At 37.5% G+C, this 21,518-nt stretch overlaps 1 protein-coding gene across 15 annotated transcripts in view, besides 2 other annotated features; it reads left to right on the top strand.

Moving 5' to 3' along the window:
- PPP3CB (protein phosphatase 3 catalytic subunit beta) overlaps positions 1–21,518 on the top strand; it is a 59,592-nt gene that overhangs the window by 13,754 nt on the left and 24,320 nt on the right. For 12 of the 15 annotated variants that reach the window (XM_005269944.2, NM_021132.4, NM_001142354.3 and 9 more), the window contains exons 2-9: positions 2,754–2,954; positions 3,648–3,772; positions 7,241–7,352; positions 10,658–10,803; positions 11,062–11,201; positions 11,307–11,384; positions 11,490–11,584; positions 14,593–14,718. In XM_005269944.2, coding sequence (XP_005270001.1) covers positions 2,754–2,954; positions 3,648–3,772; positions 7,241–7,352; positions 10,658–10,803; positions 11,062–11,201; positions 11,307–11,384; positions 11,490–11,584; positions 14,593–14,718 — 1,023 coding nt within the window. Of the gene's footprint in view, positions 1–2,302; positions 2,422–2,753; positions 2,955–3,647; positions 3,773–5,059; positions 5,114–7,240; positions 7,353–10,657; positions 10,804–11,061; positions 11,202–11,306; positions 11,385–11,489; positions 11,585–14,592; positions 14,719–21,518 lie in introns of all 15 variants that reach the window. The other 3 variants (XM_047425430.1, NM_001289969.2, NM_001289968.2) reach the window with 2 other exon arrangements.
- Positions 1,854–2,054: a silencer, noted in NCBI's record as "peak1011 fragment used in MPRA reporter construct". NCBI's record gives its function as "represses an SCP1 promoter by STARR-seq MPRAs in K562 erythroleukemia cells {active_cell/tissue: K562}" and the evidence as "EXISTENCE:reporter gene assay evidence [ECO:0000049][PMID:32103011]".
- Positions 3,414–3,614: a silencer, noted in NCBI's record as "peak1010 fragment used in MPRA reporter construct". NCBI's record gives its function as "represses an SCP1 promoter by STARR-seq MPRAs in K562 erythroleukemia cells {active_cell/tissue: K562}" and the evidence as "EXISTENCE:reporter gene assay evidence [ECO:0000049][PMID:32103011]".

The following is a 21,518-nucleotide window of genomic DNA, read 5'->3' as shown; positions in this document are numbered from 1 at the left end:
ATCCAGCCAGTACGTAGCATTTTAAATAGTGTTTCTTTTCCCAAGTAGAGTGCTAAAAAAAAAAAAAATTCTCTGACCTGATGAAAAAACTGATTCTATCTTGATCTCAGAAATTTGTGTTTATTAGTAAGAGATATTTAACCTTCTCATTTTTGTAATGTCCCAAAAGTAACACTTGATTTATTTAGTAATCAATTCATTAAAAATGTTTATTTTTTAAACAATTACTCTACCATGAGGGCAAATTTGGTTATAGCATATATAATGGTTTGTTTAATCTTTGATTGGTAAAAACATTCTTTGAGGCTTTTATTTTATTAGAATCTTGACATGCTATATTTGGGGGTAAAATATACTTTAATGCCTTATTCTAGATGAGTAAAAAGTAATGGTAATACATGTTTCTTGTGAAGGGAAAATAAACAAGGTCCAGTTTTATTTTACTAGATAGCAAATAAAAAAAAAAAGAGGGATTAGTGATTTCAGTCTTTTAGAAATGGTTGGCATCTCTCTGCCTTAGTTCTTACCTCACTTGTAAAGGATTGAGTTCTTCCTTAATGTTTTCTCCTGGTATGAGAATGTGGTTATATTCTTTCTTAGGTAATTGATAGGAATCTAACCTAGTTTTTTTTTTTGTTTTTTTTTAGTTACTTTAAGTTGAAATGTAAAGGAGCAGTTGGTTCTGTACATTTCCAAGCTTCTCTGTAATAATTGATCATTACAATGATGACCCTAAAGCATCAGGAAAATACTGTATACTATATGCTCAGAGATATATATATGTATATATATATATATATTTGATGGAGTCTCACTGTCGACCAGGCTGGAGTGCAGTGGTGTAGTCTAGGCTCACTGCAACTTCTGCCTCCCCGGGTTTAAGTGATTCTCCTGCGTCACCCTCTTGAGTAGCTGGGACTACAGGTGTGCACCACCACACCCAGCTAATTTTTGTGTTTTTAGTAGAGATGGGGTTTCACCATGTTGGCCAGGCTGGTCTTGAACTCCTGACTTCAAGTGATCCACTGGCCTTGGCCTCCCAAGTCTGGGATTTCAGGTGTGAGTCACTGCACCCGGCCTATTTTTCTAAAAAAAAAAAAAAAAAGAAAAAAAAATCTGGAAAGAGGGAGCTGCCTTACATTTCAGTCTATATTTATTAGACTCCTAATGTACATTTCTCTCTCACTTTCTTTATTTTGAAAAACAAAGTACTATTCAGTAAAGAGCCTGAAACTGCTTCAGTCCAAGCTGATTTTGAATGCATAAAGATTTACTTGTTGGATTCAGTAAAAAAGGAATAAGAAAAACTTACTATATAGTAATTTTTCCTAGGTATATGACCTCAAAATTGTGCTTAGATGCCATTGAAATAGATGTTCATGTTTTCCATTCCACTCAACAAATATCACTTAAAAACAGTACAGTTGGTGATTTCTTACAGAAATCATAAATATGTACTGCGGAGTGAAAAAACCAACTACTTAACTATGATGAAATGGGAACTTTTGGTTAAATTTGTAGGGATAGGCCAGGTGCAGTGGCTCATGCGTGTAATCCCAGAACTTTGGGAAGCCAAGGCGGGCAGATCACCTGAGGTCAGGAGTTCGACACCAGCCTGGCCAACATGGTGAAACCCGGTCTCTACTAAAAATACAAAAATAAGCTGGGCATGATGGCGGATGCCTGTAATCCCAGCTACTCGGGAGGCTGAGGCAGGAGAATCCCTTGAACCCGGGAGGCGAAGGTTGCAGTGAGCCGAGTTCACGCCACTGCATTCCAGCCTGGGCGACAGAACAAGACTCCATCTCAAAAAAAAAAAAAAAAAAAAAATTACAGGGATAAATTTGCAGTGGTAACATTTTACACATATGCAAAAAGTGCTGTATCTCAAACAGTTTAGGTGGAAATGAGTATGATTTGCTTTCAGAATGTGTGTTAGGTGACTCAGAAAGTGACTTCAATGATAAGGAATGCACTGGTTTCGAATATATGCATAAAGATTTTGAATGAAGGTGTTTTGTGAAACGTTAAGTAAGGTAGGAGAAAAATCAGTATTTTGAAATTATGATTTATTATTTTAAGCCTCCTAAATTAATTTGCATTTCAGAAGTAAACATCTGGTGTTTGGTCTATATCTCTAAAAGTGTATAGTCAAGTTGGTCAGAAAACATTGTTTTTATGTTCTTATTAGAAAGGAACATGGTAAATCACCTTGTATTTGGGTTTTCTTTCTAGTTAGGCTTATTTGGTATTAAAGTGTTGTGGGGTTTTTTTTGAGATGGTGTCTCGCTGTGTTGCCCAGGCTGGTCTCCAATTTCTGGCCTCAAGTGATCCTCCTGCCCCAGCCTACGAAGTAGTCGTGATTACAGACATGCTTCACTACTCCCAGCATTAAATTATATTTATTGTACTTCATTTAAGGTAAAGAATATCTAATACTATAATACAATATTTTGAGAGTTCTGCCTAAAAATGTTTTGGCTTAAACAAAAAAGTTTTGGTTATCCTGAAAGAACTTAATTTTGTGAGACAACTCATTTCTCTAATAATTCTCAACAAAGAACATGTTAGTATAAATAGCTTTAAAAGTGGTATAATTTGCTTACTATTTAGAAAAACACTTCTACCCAATAAATGAAGAAGAAAGAAAAATCCCTGCTTTACAGTTTTTAGTCTTATCTAGATCCAATTATTAGTTTTTAAGTTAATGTATTTTTGGTGACTTATCTTTTATTAATTAAAAACATTTGCAGCTGTCCCTTTCCCCCCAACACATCGCTTGACATCTGAAGAAGTATTTGATTTGGATGGGATACCCAGGGTTGATGTTCTGAAGAACCACTTGGTGAAAGAAGGTCGAGTAGATGAAGAAATTGCGCTTAGAATTATCAATGAGGGTGCTGCCATCCTTCGGAGAGAGAAAACCATGATAGAAGTAGAAGCTCCAATCACAGGTAAGCTTATTCATGTTTTGGGTATTATTTTTATTATGTCATTATTTAGTTGCCTGGATTTACAACTTACTGTTTTCAATGATACTGTATGCTAAATCAATATTACTTGGACATTATCTTGAATTTCAAATTATTTTCCATACTTAAAAATGATTGCCTGTTTTCAGTGAATAGACATGATTCTAAATAATCTGAGTGTAGAAGTTAGTCTAATATGCTTTTGTGAAGGTTTCATCAATTGTGTTGACCATACTTCAATTTGATCAATACTTACTTTGCTTTCAATTGTTAGGGTCAAATACCTTGATGTCATATCAGATACCAAAAGTGACCATTTAGAGAGCAACAGAAAGTATTGAGTTAGAATGGATATTTTAACTGCCACCATTGTAATTTTGTCATCTTGAAACTTAAAACACATCCTTGGAGTCCTAGAGACGATCTTTATAAATGTAGATTTCAGTTTGTCACTGACCACAAATTTCGTTATTTCTGTTACATCTTTTTCTAGATCTTGAGCACATGAACACTTGGTTACACATCATCCTAATCATGACTGTTCATAGACTACTTCCTTCTCAGACATTTCTTGATAGCATTTGTACTATGTCTTATGTAAAATACGTTTTAACTTAAGTAAAATTTGTTGTTTTAGAGATTTTTTTCCCTTATCTAATAATCTTCTTGTTTCAGTGTGTGGTGACATCCATGGCCAATTTTTTGATCTGATGAAACTTTTTGAAGTAGGAGGATCACCTGCTAATACACGATACCTTTTTCTTGGCGATTATGTGGACAGAGGTTATTTTAGTATAGAGGTAATAATCATAAACTGTCATTTGATTTGCTGTTAAGTGTTAACACAGATGCTTTCACTTAATCCTAGTTTTCACAAGTACCTGTGTTAGGTTTTTTTAATAACTCTGCATATTCTGAAGTTTTTATGAAAAGCTACTATTTATTCCTGTTCTGTCTTTCAAACAATTCAAATAAATTTCTTTGTATAACTCTGTTTATATAATTATAATTGCCATTTTTTTCCCAGTGGAATTTATGAGCTGACTGAGGGGTCTTTATTGCCCTGTTAACTAGTGGCCTTAAAAATTTAGTGCTATTTATCTCTCTTGCCCCTAAAGGCATTAAACCATGTGAAAAAAGATTACTTGAATTCTGTCTGATTAAATAAAGTATATTGTGATTTTTTTATTGCTTGAGCCCTAGTGCTTCTGTTTCTCCTTGTGTAGCTATTAAGACTCAAGTATATCCTATGGAATCTTTGTGTATTTGGAAAGTATTAATTTGTTTTTAAAAACTTGAGGCATTAAAATGACCTTTTGATTATCACTTAACAGTAGATGGTTCCTTTTCTTCCTTTTTCTCTTTTCTTTTTCTTTTTTTTTGAGACAGGGTCTTACTCTGTGGCCCATGCTGGAGTACAGTGGCACCAGCATGGCTCAATGTAGCCTTGACCTCTTGAGCTTAAGGGATCCTTCTGTCCCAGTCTCTCAAATAGCTGGGACCACAGGTACACACCACCATGCCTAGACTAATTTTTAATTTTTTTGTAGCAATGGAGTTTCCTATGTTGCCCAGGCTGGTCTTGAACTCCTGGGCTCAAGTGATCCTCCTGCCTTGGACTCCCAAAGTGTTGAGATTACAGATGTGAGCCACATTGCCCTGCCATCTTTTTAAATTATATAAACAAAATGCAGCAAATGTAGAACAATATGTATTTTCCAATATATACATTTTTTCTTTTTTTAATGAAAAGGGGATCATATTATAATATTGTCTGTAACTTGCTTTTTCATACATGCCTACACCAAATATCCTTCCAAGTCAGTAAATATAAACTCGTAGCATCATTTTAATATCTACATTGTTTTCCATCTAATAAACAAACCATAATTAATTAATTCCTTGTGTTAGACACTGAAGATGTTCCCAGTTTTTTTCTTTACAAATGATGCTTTAATGAGTCATATTATTCATACATCTTTACATACTTGCCTGATTATTTTTGTAGGACAAATTCCTAGAGGTAGAATTGTGGGGTCAAATTTCTACCAATAGATACCTGTGTTGCACATTTAATATGTTCTAAGCATGTTCTAGGCACTGAAGACATATCGATTAATCCTCACAATAATATTAATGAGGTAAGTACTGTTGTTTTATTCATTTTATAGATGAGGAACCTGAGGCTTAGAGAGGTTAAGTAACTTGCCCAAGGTATTATTAGTAAACAGCATAGCCAGGCAATGTGACTCCCAGCATATGCTTTTAACCACCTTCCCTAGTAGATACTGAAACCTTACCTGGTGAATTTATGTTGGTTACTGTTGTTTATATCTCCTTCTCCAGTGTTTCCAATATACCTTTTTTTCTGAGGTGTGCTAGGATTCTCAGAGTGGAAGGAAGTTCTAGACTCTGTCTGTCCTGCTTCCCTTAGGAATTTTGCTATTTTGAGTTCTTCTTCCTCCTGCTGATAGTTGATTATTAGCCTCGTCAACTTTTCCCAAATTGTCACAGGGCTTCAGGCAAATCAGAAAATGGCCCATTTTAACAAAAAAATTTCAGGCATTTGACCAAAACAATAAAATAAACAGTTTTATGAAGCTTATTTGGTAACTAAGTTGGTGTGCATGTCCTTGTGTAAGATTGTTTTGCAGCTGACTCTTTTTTTTTTTTTTTTTAATTGAGATGGACTCTCACTCTGTCGCCCAGGCTGGAGTGTAGTGGCGTGATCTCGGCTCACTGCAACCTCTGCCTCCCAGGTTCAAGAGATTCTCCTGCCTCAGCCTCCCAAGTAGTTGGGATTACAGGTGCCCACCACCACTCCCGGCTAGTTTTTGTATTTTTAATAGAGATGGAGTTTCGCCATGTTGGTCAAGCTGATCTCGAACTCCTGGCCTCAGGTGATCTGCCTGCCTCGGCCTCCCGAAGTGCTGGGATTACAGGCGTGAGCCACTGCGCCTGGATGTAGCTGACTCCTTTAATACATTTTGTTGTTATAAAAGGAAAATAACAAAGAATCAAAATAAGCATCGAGAACAGATTATTTCCCTGATTTTATTACTTTTTTCCCTTTTGAATAAAATGAAGGATATGAATAGTTACATGTTTAGATATACCTTAATTTATTAACAATAAAGTTTTGTTGGGTGTGGTGGCTCACACCTGTAATCGCAGCACAGGTTGGCCAAGTCAGGCAGATTGCTTGAACCTGGGAGTTCGAGACCAGCCAGGGAAACATGGTGAAACCCTGTCTCCACAAAAAAAAAAAAAAAAACTTAGCTGGGCCTGGTGGCATGTGCCTGTAGTCCCAGCTGCTCAAGAGACTGAGGTAGGAGGATTTCTTGAGCCCAGAAGGTCGAGGCTGCAGTGAGCAGTAATTGTGCCATTGCACTCCAACCTGGGTGACAGTGAGACCTTGTCTCTAAAAATAAAAAAGTTTGTTTTTTCTTTTTGCATATGATTATATAAACCATGCTTATTTCCATATCAAATATTTCTTCCTTTTTTAAGCAAATAAGTAAAATGTGAGTCTCTTTCTTATGTTAAATCTATTTAGAGAATAGCATCTGCTATAATGTTTAATAATATTTTTATTTGAAAAATTACATTTGCATTGAATTAGTTCAGATAATAAGCACTTACCATATGTAAGGCAATATTCATAATCAATGAAACAAACATAAAACATGGACCTTCCCTTCATGGGCAGCATGGCATAATGCTTAAGATCAGAGGATCAGAATCCTATCTCCATCACTTAGAAGTTTTGTGGTTTTGGACAAGTTACTTGAGATCTTTGCTTCAGTTTCTCATTTGTAAAATAAAGATGATATTACATACTTCATAGTGTTGTTTGAGGAATAAATTAGGGGAATTATATAGTGCTTCACATATTGTAAGTACTTAATAAATGTTAGCTGCTGTTATTTTGACAGTATTATTTACTAATACGCATCTGTAGACCAGTGTGCTAATTGTTTTTATATTGGGCAGTCTGTAAATCCAAAGTAATTAAATAGATTGTTTGACTCATTCATTCAACAAATATTTATTGCTCTTCTCCTATTTGCTAGGTACTCTTCTGGGAGTGGAGAATCAAAAGTGAATAAGATGACAAAATCTGTGATTTTGTGGTGCTTATATTTTAGTAAGGGACAAAGAAAGATAATAGAGGATGGTAAGGGTAGTAGAGGAAAAGGAGCAAAGATCAAGCAGCTTCATTAAACAAAAGTACAAGATAAATTCACTAGAAAAATTTTCTTTTGCAGTGTGTCTTATATTTATGGGTTCTGAAGATTCTATACCCAAGCACATTATTTCTTCTGAGAGGCAACCATGAATGCAGACACCTTACTGAATATTTTACCTTTAAGCAGGAATGTGAGTACTGCCAGAAGAAATGTTTTCACTTCCTCAGTATTCTTTTGGACTTAAGTGGGTAGTAAGAGTTTTGAAGACTTTACAGTGCAACATGTAAGGACAGATTTCATGTCCACACATAAAGCTTTGAGGAAAGTTGTCGAGCACTCTCTGGTGTTTAATGGTATTAAGAAGTTTTTGGTGGGGCATGGTGGTTCACGCCTGTAATCCCAGCACTTTGGGAGGCCCAGGCAGGGGGATTGCCTGAGCTCAGGAGTTGGAGACCAGCCTGGCCAACATGGTGAAACCCCATCTCCACCAAAAATACAAAAAAAAAAAATTAGCTGGGTGTGGCGGCACACTCTTGTAGTCCCAGCTGCTCAGGAGGCTGAGGTGGGAGGATCGCTTGAGCCTGGGAATCGGAGGTCATAGTGAGCTGAGATCATGCCACTGCACGGACAATTGCCTGGGCAATAGAGTCAGACCCTGTCTCAAAAAAAAAAATTTTTTTTCATTTCAGAATTTCTTATTATGTTTAACTTTTACAAACATACTTAGAGTTTTATATATAAGTTTTAATGTTACAATTAATTTTTCTAAGCCAGGCACGGTAGCTCACGCTTGTAATCCCAGCACTTTGGGAGGCCGAGGCGGGTGGATCACCTGAGGTCAGGAGTTCAAGACCAGCCTGGCCAACACGGCAAAACCCCATCTCCTAAAAATACAAAAATTAGCCAGGCGTGGTGACATGTGCCTGTAATCCCAGGTACTCAGGAGGCTGAGGCAGGAGAATCACTTGAACCTGGGAGGCGGAGGTTGCAGTGAGCCGAGATCGCGCCATTGTACTCCAGCCTGGGCAACAAGAGCGAAACTCTGTCTCAGGAAAAAAAAATGTATATATTTTTTCTAACAGGAAAAAATAAAAACCAAAAGAAAAAAATGTTATTTTGCATTGGAGATTTTTGTCCTTCAATCTTGAGGCATTCCTGTGAGGAATCCTAACAAATTGTTTATCCTGTTACCATTGCAGATCATTTCAATCATGCTATTAATGATTGAAATTCTTCTTAAAATTTTTTTGTTTTTTTAAATATCATTGTTTTAAGACTAGTCAGGTACAGTTGGTGAAATTCTTAACCTGCAATGTTTATCCCTTTTCTCTCTCAAATTATTATAGCAATGGTAATCTAATACCTGTAAGTAACCATATGTTACAGAACAAGATTAGGCCTTTTTCACACCTCAAACCTTTGTGCTTTTTTATTATTTTTGTTATTTTTATTTTTTTTTTGAGACAGTCTCGCTCTGTCGCCCTGGCTGGAGTGCAGTGGTACAATCTCGGCTCACAGCAACCTCCTCCCGGGTTCAAGTATTCTCCTGCCTTAGCCTCCCAAGTAGCTGAAATTACAGGCATGCGCCACCACGTCCTGCTAATTTTTGTATTTTTGGTAGAGGCGGTGTTTCACCATGTTGGCCAGGCTGGTCTCTTAACTCCTGACCTCAAGTAATCCACCTGCCTCGTCCTCCCAAAGTGCTGGGATTACAGGTGTGAACCACCGCATCTGGCCTGCCTTTGTGCTTTTTAAGTTAATATTTATGACTGTATTAAGTAGAGTTAAATTCTAAAAGCAGAAATAATTTCAACGTTTTGAGACTCAAAACATGATCCAATAAAGGTCATACTAAGTAGAGACTTGCAGCAACAGGAGAAAAATACAGTGATGGGTAGTGGCAGAAGTGGCATACTCTTATAACTTCAAGGATCAGGCAGTTAACCTAAATGAGTAAGATAAGACCTGGAAAGTGCATGCTTGACCTAAAAGCAGTCAAATTAGAATTTTTATTAAACCACAGTGCTAGAAAACAGAGTCGTTAGCAGACTGCCAGTGTAGAATCTCTGGTTGCTGGATATATATATAGTTTTTTTAATATTTGAATATTACAGTATTAAAACAGGAAATAGGAACTAAGTTCTTTTTCTTTGCCTAGATAAATAACAAACCACCTACCAAAATCTCATCAAAACCAAAATAGGAATTTAAAGTTGTAAAGGAGCAAATGAAAGTGCATGATATCTCTCTAAAAGTAAATGATAGTTTGATTTGGTAGAGTTTTGTCTTTCTTGTGTTTCTATATTGGCTTCCTGCTTCACTGCCCATTTTAAAGTATTCATTGTAGGCAAGAGGAACCCCTCAGCTTTTCTGACATGAGCATGCTATTATCTTTTATTTTTCAGAAAAAATGGATGAACCTTGAATTTTGTTGTGATGATGTAGTCATCTTGCCTGTAATAAGAATAAAGTAGTCATTGACTCTTAGAATAAAATAAAGCAAGTATTAAAATGATTTTAACCTCAAGTACAGTTCTAATTTTGCCTTATTTGGCCGATAAAGGTGAAGGGTTGAGCTGTTTTTAAGAGATTTCTTTCTTTTTTTTTTTTTTTTGAGACAGAGTCTTGCTCTGTCGCCCAGGCTGGAGTGCAAGTGGCACGATCTCGGCCCACTGCAGCCTCCACCTCCTGGGTTCAAGTGATTCTTGTTCCTCACCCATTGAGTCTCTGGGATTACAGGTGCACACCAGCATGCCTGGCTAATTTTTGTATTTTTAGTAGAGACAGTGTTCTGCCATGTTGGCCAGACTGGTCTCAAACTCCTGGCCTCAAGCGATCTGCCTGCTTTGGCCTGTCAAAGTGCTGGGATTACAGGCGTGAGCCACCGTGCCTGGCCTGTTTTTAGAGATTTGACTGACTTATTTTTAACAATACGTGATGACTTTTCTGTCATCCAAAATAATTTTAGAGAGCAAATATTTTGCTTCATAAGACATAACATCATCGAGAATAATTTTAGAGAGAGCAAATATTTTGTCTTCATAAGACAGATAACTTTGCATATTTTTGTTGATTCTTATAGGGGAAGATGCTTTCCTTAAAAAAATTGTGTGCAGTAAGATTTATTCTCTGTGGTATTTACTTCTGTGACTTTTGACACTGCATAGAGTTGCCCACTACCACTATCATGATACAGAAAAGTTTTATCATGCCATAAGTTCTCTCTTGCTACCTTTTTATAGTCACCCCTTCACTCACTCTGAAGCCCTGGCCACCACTTTGCTGTTTACTGTCTATAATTTTCTTGCCATCTGTCTGTCTGTCTGTCTGGGCTATTACTACAGTTGAAACTGTAACTATCTCAATTTCATTATAAATAGCTATAAGATATAAAGGAGGGGAGAGAACAAGAAATAAAAATCTAATATATATGTTTTTAAAATGGTCACACCACCACCAGTAATGTAATTTTCAATTAGTTTTTTGTTTTTCTAGGTAAAATTAAGTATTCGGAAAGAGTCTATGAAGCTTGTATGGAAGCTTTTGATAGTTTGCCTCTTGCTGCACTTTTAAACCAACAGTTTCTTTGTGTTCATGGTGGACTTTCACCAGAAATACACACACTGGATGATATTAGGAGAGTAAGTATATATTTTACTTCCGAGATTGATTTCTATTTATAGTACATTGTTGAGTAGAGCAGAAGTTTCAAACTTCACTTCACTGCCAAGATTAGGTAATAGTAAAAATTAGTATACTGATATCTTAAGGAAATAACTTCTGTTTATTCACAATAATATAGTATGAACTGTATTCAAAGTTGGTATCGTTTTCCTATGCACATTTTATCCTTACTTTTTGATGAGTTACTTCTGTTCTTTCTTTTCTTTCTTTCACAGTTAGATAGATTCAAAGAGCCACCTGCATTTGGACCAATGTGTGACTTGTTATGGTCCGATCCTTCTGAAGATTTTGGAAATGAAAAATCACAGGAACATTTTAGTCACAATACAGTTCGAGGATGTTCTTATTTTTATAAGTAAGGAAAAATATCCAAGATTAATCACATTTTAGTTGTTAACATAGCATATGCTTCATACAGAAAAGCCATTATTTTACTTAATTTACTCTTTTTCCCCCACAGCTATCCAGCAGTGTGTGAATTTTTGCAAAACAATAATTTGTTATCGATTATTAGAGCTCATGAAGCTCAAGATGCAGGGTAAGAATTCTGTTTCCCTGACCCAAATTAACACCTAAAATATAAATCAAACTTAGTAACCATGATTGATGCTTTACGATGCATATTAAGCTATTTGTTTTGCAGCTATAGAATGTACAGAAAAAGTCAAACTACAGGGTTCCCTTCATTAATAACAATTTTTTCGGCACCTAATTACTTAGATGTCTACAATAATAAAGGTAAGATATTGTTGATAAAAAAAATTGTTAAACAACTTAGTATTTTAATTGACTTTTTTTAATATAATAAAAAAGGGGTGTTGTTTGAAACTATTAGTATCCAGATTTCTTTATAAATAACTGTAAGATGGAGGGGAGAGAACAATAAATAAAAATCCAAAATGTGAAACTAAGTAATATGTAACCCCATTCCACAACTTGTCTCTTGGAAAAGCCATTTTGTAAAACGTGCTCTGAGTTAAGTGCATCAAGCAAAACCAAACATGATTTTCTCAAACTCCCCTTTCTTAAATCTTTTCCCTTATTGAGGATGTTTTCTTATTTGTATAAAGCTGCTGCTGCTTTGATGATTTTATTTGCACTGTCTACTTGTTTAGTTTATCATGTTTCTTGTTTTATGTTCACTGATCTAGGTTCTCTTTCCCTTTCTTATTTCCTTCTTTTACCTCCACAGTCTTATCACTGCCCCATGAAGATTTGTATTTGAGCTTTTTTTTAATTAATTCAGTTTCATCTCATTTGAGGGATACATTCTTCTCTTTATTTTTACTGCTTTTTTCCTTTGCCTTCCGTTCCAGAGATTTTCATTTCCCCACCTTCCCTGAAAATTTGACCTGTCTATAGTAATTGGATTTCATTTTATTTTGAATACAGTTTATTGACAGAAAGTGCCAAAGGGTCTTAATCTAGTTAAGTGTGTGCCAAGGACATTGAAGATGAGATTGGGTATGTTTATGTAGTTTACATCTTTGGAAGATGATATTAAGAGGCCAGCTTCTCTTCTGTCTTGACATGTCTGGAATTCAGTTGACTATGCCATAGCTTCAGGATCAGACTGGAGTGGATGTGCCAAGAGGAAAGAACAGAAGGTTAAAGACTTTAAAAAGGACATTTAGAGAGAGAATGAGGTCATTGCTAAATAAGGGTCATGGTGTAAGTTCAAAAGAGGAACAGAGGAAGTTTTTTTGGATGATGAGAGGTGATGGTTAAAAGATTAAAACACTTGCCTGAGACCAAACAGTAGCATGCTGGATAACTTGGGTACAGAATATGCTACAAGAACTTACACTATAGATATCTTATGAAATATGACTTCATTTTTGAGAAGAAACATATCTAAGTTTTGATTCCATTCTTTCTCTCTCTAGACAGGGTCTCGCTCTGTTGCCCAGGCTGGAATGCAGTGGTGCAGTCTCGGCCGACTGCTACATCTGCATCCTGGGTTCAAGCAATTCTCTTGCCTCAGCCCTCCCTAATAGCTGGGATCATAGGCACCCGCCACCTCGCCCAGCTAATTTTTATATTTTTATAGAATGAGGTTTCACCATGTTCACCAGGCTTGTCTTGAACTCCTGACTTCAAGTGATCTGCCTGCCTCAGCCTCCCAAAGTGCTGCGATTATAGGCCTGAGCCACTGCGCCCCTGCCCTGATTCCATTCTCAAAAACAGAACCAAGTGTTAAATTTAACTTTCTACCAGTGCTCTAATTCCTCAACTGTGACTTCCTCTTGTTAATATTAAGGGAGCTAGTGTTCAGTGTCCAGTTGAGTACTGCCTTACTGATTGTCCTTTGTTGGTTTGACTCAGGAGGTTAAGGGATGGATTTTTTTTAGCACTTAGAAAAGAGGCTCAAACCATTGACTGTCTTATCAAAAATCAGATGTCTCTTTGTAGTCCTGAGTCTGTACATAAATAGTGTTAATGGTTTGAGTGTTTACGTTGTATGGGTATGTTTGTAATTTTTCATTCTATCCATAAGGCAATTTTCTAGATTTTTCTCTCTTTTATCCCTTACAAAAGATCTGAAAGCTTGGTATCAGCTCATAATTTTTGAGACTAATTTAAAATACTCTTTTTTCCCACTTTGAACTGATTGTCAAAACATATAATTTAAAATACTTTTATTTCAGATGGGAATTTCATATGGGAAACAAACATATACTTATTAAGTTAGTAAACAGTAACATGTAGCAGGATTACTTTTGATTCTCTATTAGCCACAATCACAAATGTTGGAATTTAACATCTGCATTTCAGTGCTTTTCATTAAAATGAAAAAAAAGTAACCATAAAATTATATCTACAAGACATTTTATACTTTTATGTATTTTCATGTGAAATGCATTGTCTGATCTTAAACTTCTGTGGTAGGCAGGGTAGACATATTAGTCCTGTTTTATAAATGAGAAACACATTAGTTGAATAATTTACCAAGCATTGCACAGCTAGTATGTGCTATAGTTTAGATGAGAATCCAGCCCTTCTAACCCAGTGTTCTATACAGTAATATAACCAGTAACTGAAATCTATGTAGGTCATTTAAGATTTTAATTATATCAACATATTGAAACATTAGATACCTGCATTTGAGATGAAAATGTTATCTCTGGATTGTTTGGTTATAATATTCTCTTTTGGTGTTTTAGTAGGATTTTTTTTCTAAACAAAGTAAAATATTTCTTTGTAGTAATTTTGTCTGATTTTCCATATTAAATGAAACAAATACATTCATACATTTATAAGTAAAATGTTCCAAATGGGTGGGATTTTTTTGTTTGCTTTATTACCATTCAGCTATCCTTTTCAGGTTGCCTGAAGCTAGAAAGATCTTAAATTCTCAATTTGTTTGAACTTTAAAAACCTAGAAAATTGCTCATTGCCATTCTGTGTTTCCTCTAAAAACTGAGTTTTCACAATTTTGGATTTAGTAAAAATGTATGTTCATCATTGGATTATAAAGTAAAACAAACATTCTGGAAAGAATCTGGAAATTTCATTAGTAATGTGAAGACCTGACTATAGTTATAGTTCTACATAACAGTGTTAAAAACAAAACCTATGTTATTATTAAAAATTAGTTCCTTCCTCCCTCTACCAGCCCTGATTCCACTCACCCCCGATCTCCCTTCCTCTTAATATTTTTCTGCTTTTATGTATTTTATATTTTTAAGGCTAATGACAAATAGTTACTTATCTATTAAGTTATTGATGTTCAACTTATCTTGCAGCTGCTGTATTAAAGTATGAAAATAATGTGATGAATATTCGACAGTTTAACTGTTCTCCACATCCTTACTGGTTGCCTAATTTTATGGATGTCTTCACGTGGTCTTTACCGTTTGTTGGAGAAAAAGGTATAATTTTTATTTTTAAAAAAAATTTGTTTTATTACTGTTACATTTACTCCAGTTTACTATCATAGGCACATACTTGCTAAAGGAAACCAAAGTCTAGTTTCACTGTGGTTACAGCTCTCCTTGTGTCAGTGGGTGTGGACATAAGAGTCTCAAAGATATTTTAGTTAGCTGTTTACAGCCCCCATGTGAGGCTGTCTGGGGGACTGGGAGAAGATTTATAAATAGCCCAATGTCTTCAGCTGTTGGATTTTCTTTTTTTTTTTTTCTTTAGCTTAAATCTTTTATGAAGGGGTGGAGAGATTGCTTTGCTTGAAATGGGCCCTTCTGCATATCTTAACACCATTTTTGGGCATTCCACCGAAATTCTTGGGGAAATTTAGTAGCCTTCATTTTAGCAATATTAGTCATTTTAATAGCTGTTCTATACTTTAAGAGAAATCATAAAGAGAAATTCAGATTGTAACCCAATATTCCTTCTCTTATATAAAAAATATGTATAAAATTTTAGTAGTGATGCCTTTCTAATTTAGAGGAACACTTGTTAGTACATAATAGGCTTTTTGAGAGAAAATAAATGCTATTTAAGAAATTCTGTTTCTGTGTTTCATTTGTAGTTCTATAGAATTCTTAGGATTTTGTTACCTATCATGTTCTTTTCCATTTTAAGTTAATTTTTTTCATAAGAAAATGCCTCAGTTTCCATATGTGGAAAATGACATTATGAGAGTACAGACATGATTATAAAACATTTTGTTCAGTATCCCCCTCTATTTTTTCTCACCTCTTCCATATTACAAAATGTTCCTTTCTGTATGAGATACGTCACTTCTGCCAAGGCAATTTGTAGTTCTGAAATTCAGAATTAATACTTAAACTGTGTATGTTAAACAGGTTTTCTGCAGATTGCATTTGGTGTTCTTCATTTACTCAGTAGGTCCAATGTTAATACGGAGATAGAATTACCCTTTAGCATTTGAGAAGGGGGCCAGTTAAGGGCTTAGGTGCAAGGGATGCATTACACTTACAACCTTCTATCTTTGGTGTATGAGAAATAGTTCAATCATAGCATCATCAGATGAATTAAATAATTCATCCTGCTCACTCTCCTGCCTTCAGGCTAGACTGCAACTCAACTGTTTTAATGTAATATGGGAAGGATGGAGGGGCCAGGAAGATAAGGTAGGAGGAAAATGGACATTTCATAGATTCTAATTTGATTCTCTGATAGTCCCACATAAGGAAATATTTCGTTATATCTAATCTAAATATTTATGCTATGAGTATTTAAACAAGGAAAGAAATAGAGATAATAGGTTTTTCTCAACTAATGCACCTGTCAAAAACCAGGGCATCATAGGGTTTTAGAGCTCATAAGTGGATATAACAGTCATTTAGCCCAACTCCTTTTGAGAGATGAGATAATTTAAGATGAATTCTGTGGATCCCTTACAAGTGAAGATGGAGAACAGTAGGCTTTTATCAGTATTCCTGTATTTGAGGTCTGGTACTAAGTGATCTTTAGTTTTTCCATTGCCACTCTAAATCATCTTTTATAAACAAAGAAATATTCAAACTTTTTGACCATTTTTGTTGTTTTTCTTTAGATCTTCTCTAAATTATTCACATCTCTCTAAAAATGTAAAGCTCAGATTTTAACATTACATGCAAATAGAATTCTAGCCAGTGTTGAGCACAGTAAGAAAATCTTCTCAAACTCTTTGCATATTTTGCTATTTTAATACATGATGGCTGTTTAGATAGCCTGACTACTTCTTGATGGTAATGAGCATTTTCTTTTGGTGTGAAAAGCAGCAAGTGACATTTGTTTTACTTCGAAGAAGCCAGCTGGACTCTGGGTCTAGTTCCTGAGAAGCAGGAACTAACCTAAGCCAGAGGCTTCCTGAAAGGCTGATTTAATCCCAAAATTAGGCGAAAGCAGTGTTTCCTTACCCTTTTGGGAGCTAAAACCCCCACTATTTTTTTTTATAGAGACAGAGTCTCGCTCTGTCACACAGACTAGAGTGCAGTGGTGCCATCATAGCCCACAGCAGCCTTGAACTCCTGGGCTTATGTAATCCTCCTGCCTTGGGCTTGTAAAGCACTGAGATTATAGGTGTGAGCCACTGCACCTAGCCAAGAACCCCTTTTCTGTTTCACTAAAAATATTCCTACATTGGCCTGTAGTCCCAGCTGCTAGGGAGGCTAAGGCAGGAGGATCACTTGAGCCCAGGAGTTTGAGAATACACTGTACAACAATCAAACATCTGAATAGCCACTGCACCCCAGCCTAGACAATATAGCAAAACCCTGTCTCTAAAGAAGTAAAATAACTTACATTGGGAAATTTTCAACATACACCAAGGTAGAGTGAATAATATGAATTTCCTATATACCAATTATTCATCTTCAACAATTATCAAATCATAGCCAATCTTGTATCATTTATGTCCCCATCCAGTACTCCCCACCTCATACCTCAATTATTTTGAAACAAATCTCAACTCTTTTCTATCTATAAATACTTTAGAATATATTTCTAAAAGATAAAGAGTCACATTTTAAAAGTACAAATAAAAACATTTATTAATTTTTTTTTTTTTTTTGAGGCACAGTCTCATTCAGTTGCCCAGGCTGGAATGCAGTCTCATTCTATTGCCCAGGCACAATCTCAGCTCACTGCAACGTCCATCCCCCGGGTTTAAGTGATTCTCATGCCTCAGCCTCCTGAGTAGTGGGATTACAGGCATGCTGTACCACACCTGGCTAATTTTTGTATATTTAGTAGAGACGGGGTTTCACCATGTTGGCCAGGCTGGTCTCAAACTCCTGGCCTCAAGGGCTCTGTTTGCCTCAACTTCCTAAAGTGCTGGGATTACAGGTGTGAGCCACTGCCAAAAACGTTTATTAATTTCTTAATATAGAATCCCTTTGAGAATCTGATAAAAGTTATGGACTTTTGCTTCAGAAAAATTCATGTATAAATGTATGTACTCACAACATTTTCAGGATGGTCATAGTTCTGAAATGAATTTGCAACCTTCACACTTATTGGCCCTCCTTTAAGAACCTCTGTTCTAGAGGATCTAATATTATATGATCTTCCATAGAAGGTCATACATGTAAGATTTATTTATTGACTAGATTTTTTTTAAGTGTTTTATTCAAGGTACCAAGGAAATACAGATACAAGTAAGATGGGTCTTTGCAGATTAATGTGGGACCTGTGATATATATAAATAATGATAATAAGATGTAATATGGTAAGTGCTCCAAGACAAGCGTAGTTTTATAGGAATTGAGATGGCTGGGCGTGGTGGCTTGGGGCCAGGCGTGGTGGCTCATGCCTGTAATCCCAGCACTTTGGGAGGCTGAGGTGGGTGGATCATCAGGTTAGGAGTTCAAGACCCACCTGGCCACGATGGTGAAACCCTGTCTCCACTAAAAATACAAAAATTAGCTGGGTGTGGTGGCGGGCGCCTGTAATCCCAGCTACTCGGGAGGCTCAGGCAGAGAATTGCTTGAACCCAGGAGGTGGAGGTTGCAGTGAGCTGAGATTGCACCACTGCACTCCAGCCTGGGCAACAGAGCGAGACTCTGTCTCAAAAAAAGAGGAGAGGCCGGGCGCAGTGGCTTACGCCTGTAATCTCAGCACTTTGGGAGGCCGAGGCAGGCAGATCGCGAGGTCAGGAGATCGAGACCATCCTGGCTAACGCAGTGAAACCCTGTCTCTACTAAAAATACAAAAAATTACAGGTGGCGGGCACCTGTAATCCCAGCTACTCAGGAGGCTGAGGCAGGAGAATGGCGTGAACCCAGGAGGCAGAGCTTGCAGTGAGCCAAGATCGAGCCACTGCACTCCAGCCTGGGTGACAGAGTGAGACTCCGTCTCAAAAGAGAAAGGAGGTTATTTCTGTCAGAGGGATTAAAGTAGCTTTTGAACAGGGGCTTGAAGAATGGTGGAATTGTGCTGGTGGATATGAGCAACAGAATTCTAGATAAGAGAACTTCCTGAGCCTGAGTCTGAAAGCAAGAAATCATAGGTCTCTTTGAGGGTTTAATTTGATTAGTGAGTAGGATCTATGAAGGACAGTAGTAGAAAAAGAATGAAAAGTTAGGTTAGGGCTAGATCATGAGGATATTGATCACCACACAGAGAAGTTGGAACTTTGATAAATGGTGAGCAAGCCATTGAGATGGAATTTGACTGTGGTCGTCATTTAGAAAAATTACTGTGGTGAAGTAGACTGGAAGGAAGACTTGACGTTGAGAGACCTGTTATGAAGTTACACCAGAAGTCAGGTAGAGACATAATGAAGGCCTGGTAGCATTAGGAACGGAGAGTGGGGAGAACCAAAAGAATGGTAGAAGTAGAATCAGTGAGACTTAACAAGATTACATATTTAAGGGTAGGGAATGGTTGGAGATGACTTGGATATTTTGAGTCTGGTGAAGATAGTGCCATTAACACACTCCAATGAGAAAACTCTTGTTACAACAACCCTTTACTCAGGTTACTGCTGTTCTTCATGTTCATTGGAATCTCTAGGCCTTTCAGTATGTCATTTTCTTCCTTTTTTTTTTTTTTTTTTTTTTTTTTTTTGAGACAGAGTCTTGCTCTGTCACCCAGGCTGGAGTGCAGTGGTGTGATCTCAGCTCACTGCAATCTCCATTTCCCAGGTTCAAGCAGTTCTCATGCTTCTGCCTCCCAAGTCTCTGGGATTACAGGTGCATGTCACCACACCTAGCTAATTTTTGTGTTTGTCGCAGAGACAGGGTTTCGCCATGTTGGCCAGGCTGCTCTTGAACCCCTGACCTCAAGTGATCCGCCCACCTCAACCTCCCAAAGTGCTGGGATTACAGGTGTGAGCCACTGTACCCAGCCTAACTAAGTCATTTTCTTACTAGTCAAATCCCTTTTTACCTCTCTTCCTTATTAACATACCCTCAAACTCCTTTCTTTTCTGTTTTTCTACTTCATTTGTCCTATAAATCTTAGGTCTAGTCAAATCCAGCCATCCATTTTCTCCATTCCTACAGCCACAGTACAGAGTGCTGCTGGAGATTTTTACGGACTTGTGAATTGGCACCACCCCTTGATTTATAACATTAGCTGAGCTCCCAGTAGGACCCTCATACCGTTTATATCCCTAGTCTGCTTTTTTCTCCCATTTTGCTTAGGATAGAGTCCAAATTTTCCTTTTTTAAAAAATTGTATAAAGAAAAGAGGGCCAGGCACAGTGGCACATGCCTGTAATCCCAGCACTTTGGGAGGCTAAGGTGAAAGGATTGCTTGAGCCTAGGAGTTCAAGGCTGCAGGCTGCAGTTAGCTGATCACTCCACTCTACTGCACTCCAACCTGGGTGATAGAATGGGACTCTATCTGAAAAAAAAAAAAAAAAAAAAAAAAAAGAAGGAGTTTAATTGGCTCGTGGTTCTGCAGGCTGTACAAGCATAGCACCTGCATCTCCTCGGCTTTTGGGGAGGCCTCAGGGAACTTCTCATGGTGGAAGGTAAAGTGGGAGCAGGCACTTCACGTGGTGAGAGCAGGAGCAAGAGAGCGAGGGGGAAGATGCCAGATACTTAAAAAACAGCCAAATTTCACAAGAATTTACTCACTATCGTGAGGACAGCACCAAAGGGATGGTGCTAAACTATTCATGAGAAATCCACCCCCATGATCCAGTCACCTTTCACCAGGCTCCACCTCCAACACTGGGGATTACAATTCAACATGAGATTTATAGGTGACAACATCCAAACTATATCATTCTGCCCATGGTCCCTATAATATCATGTCCTTCTGATATATCAAAATATAATCATCTCCTGCCAATGGTTCCCCAAAGTCTTAACTCATTCTAGAATTTAACCGAAAAGTGCCAACTCCAAAGTCTCATCTGAGACTCAAGCCTAGTTCCTTCTACCTATGAACCTGTAAAATCAAAGACAAATTATTTCCAAGACCTAATGAGGATATAGGCATTGGATAAAATAAACATTCCTGCTCCAAAAGGGAGAAATCTGCTAAAAGAAAAGGGGTTCAGACACTATGCAAGTCTGAAACCCAGCAGGCAGTCATTAAATTTTTTTTTTTTCTTTTTGAGACAGAATCTTGCTCTGTTGCGCCCAGGCTGGAATGCAGTGGTGTGTTCTTTGCTCACTGCACCCTCCGCCTCCTGGGTTAAAGTGATTACCCTGCCTCAGACCCCCAAATAGCTGGGACTACAGGCATGCCCCACCATGCCTGGCTAATTTTTGTATTTTTAGTAGAGACAGGGTTTCACTATGTTGGCCAGGTTGGTTTTGAACACCTGAGCTCAAGTGATCCATGCACCTCGACCTCCCAAAGTGCTGGGATTAAGGTGTGAGCCATCACGCCAGTCATTAAATCTTAAAGCTCCAAAATAATCATTGACTCCATGTCCTACATCCTGGGCACACTGTTTCGATGAGTGGGCAGTTCTGTCCCTGTGGTTTTTCCACACTGAGGTTGCAAGCTGCCGGTGGCTCTGCCATTCTGGAGGGCAGCAGCCCTTTCTCACAGCCCCACTAGGCAGTGCCTCAGTGGGGAGTCTGTGTGGGGCCTCCAGCCCTGCATTTTCCCTTGGCACTGCCCTAGTAGTGTCTCTCTGTGAGGGCTCTGCCCCTGGGCACCTAGGCTTTCTCATACACCTTCTGAAATCTAAGTGGAAACCACCAAGCTTCATTCACTCTTACACTTGCCTAGGGGTTTAACACCAGGTGGTGGCTGGTGCTGGAGCAGTCCCTGGCTGTGGGGAGCAGTGTCCTGAGGCTGT

The sequence above is a fragment of the Homo sapiens genome, chromosome 10 (assembly GCF_000001405.40).
Source record: "Homo sapiens chromosome 10, GRCh38.p14 Primary Assembly".
Taxonomy (NCBI): domain Eukaryota; kingdom Metazoa; phylum Chordata; class Mammalia; order Primates; family Hominidae; genus Homo; species Homo sapiens.
This window is presented reverse-complemented; position numbering and strand designations above follow the sequence as displayed.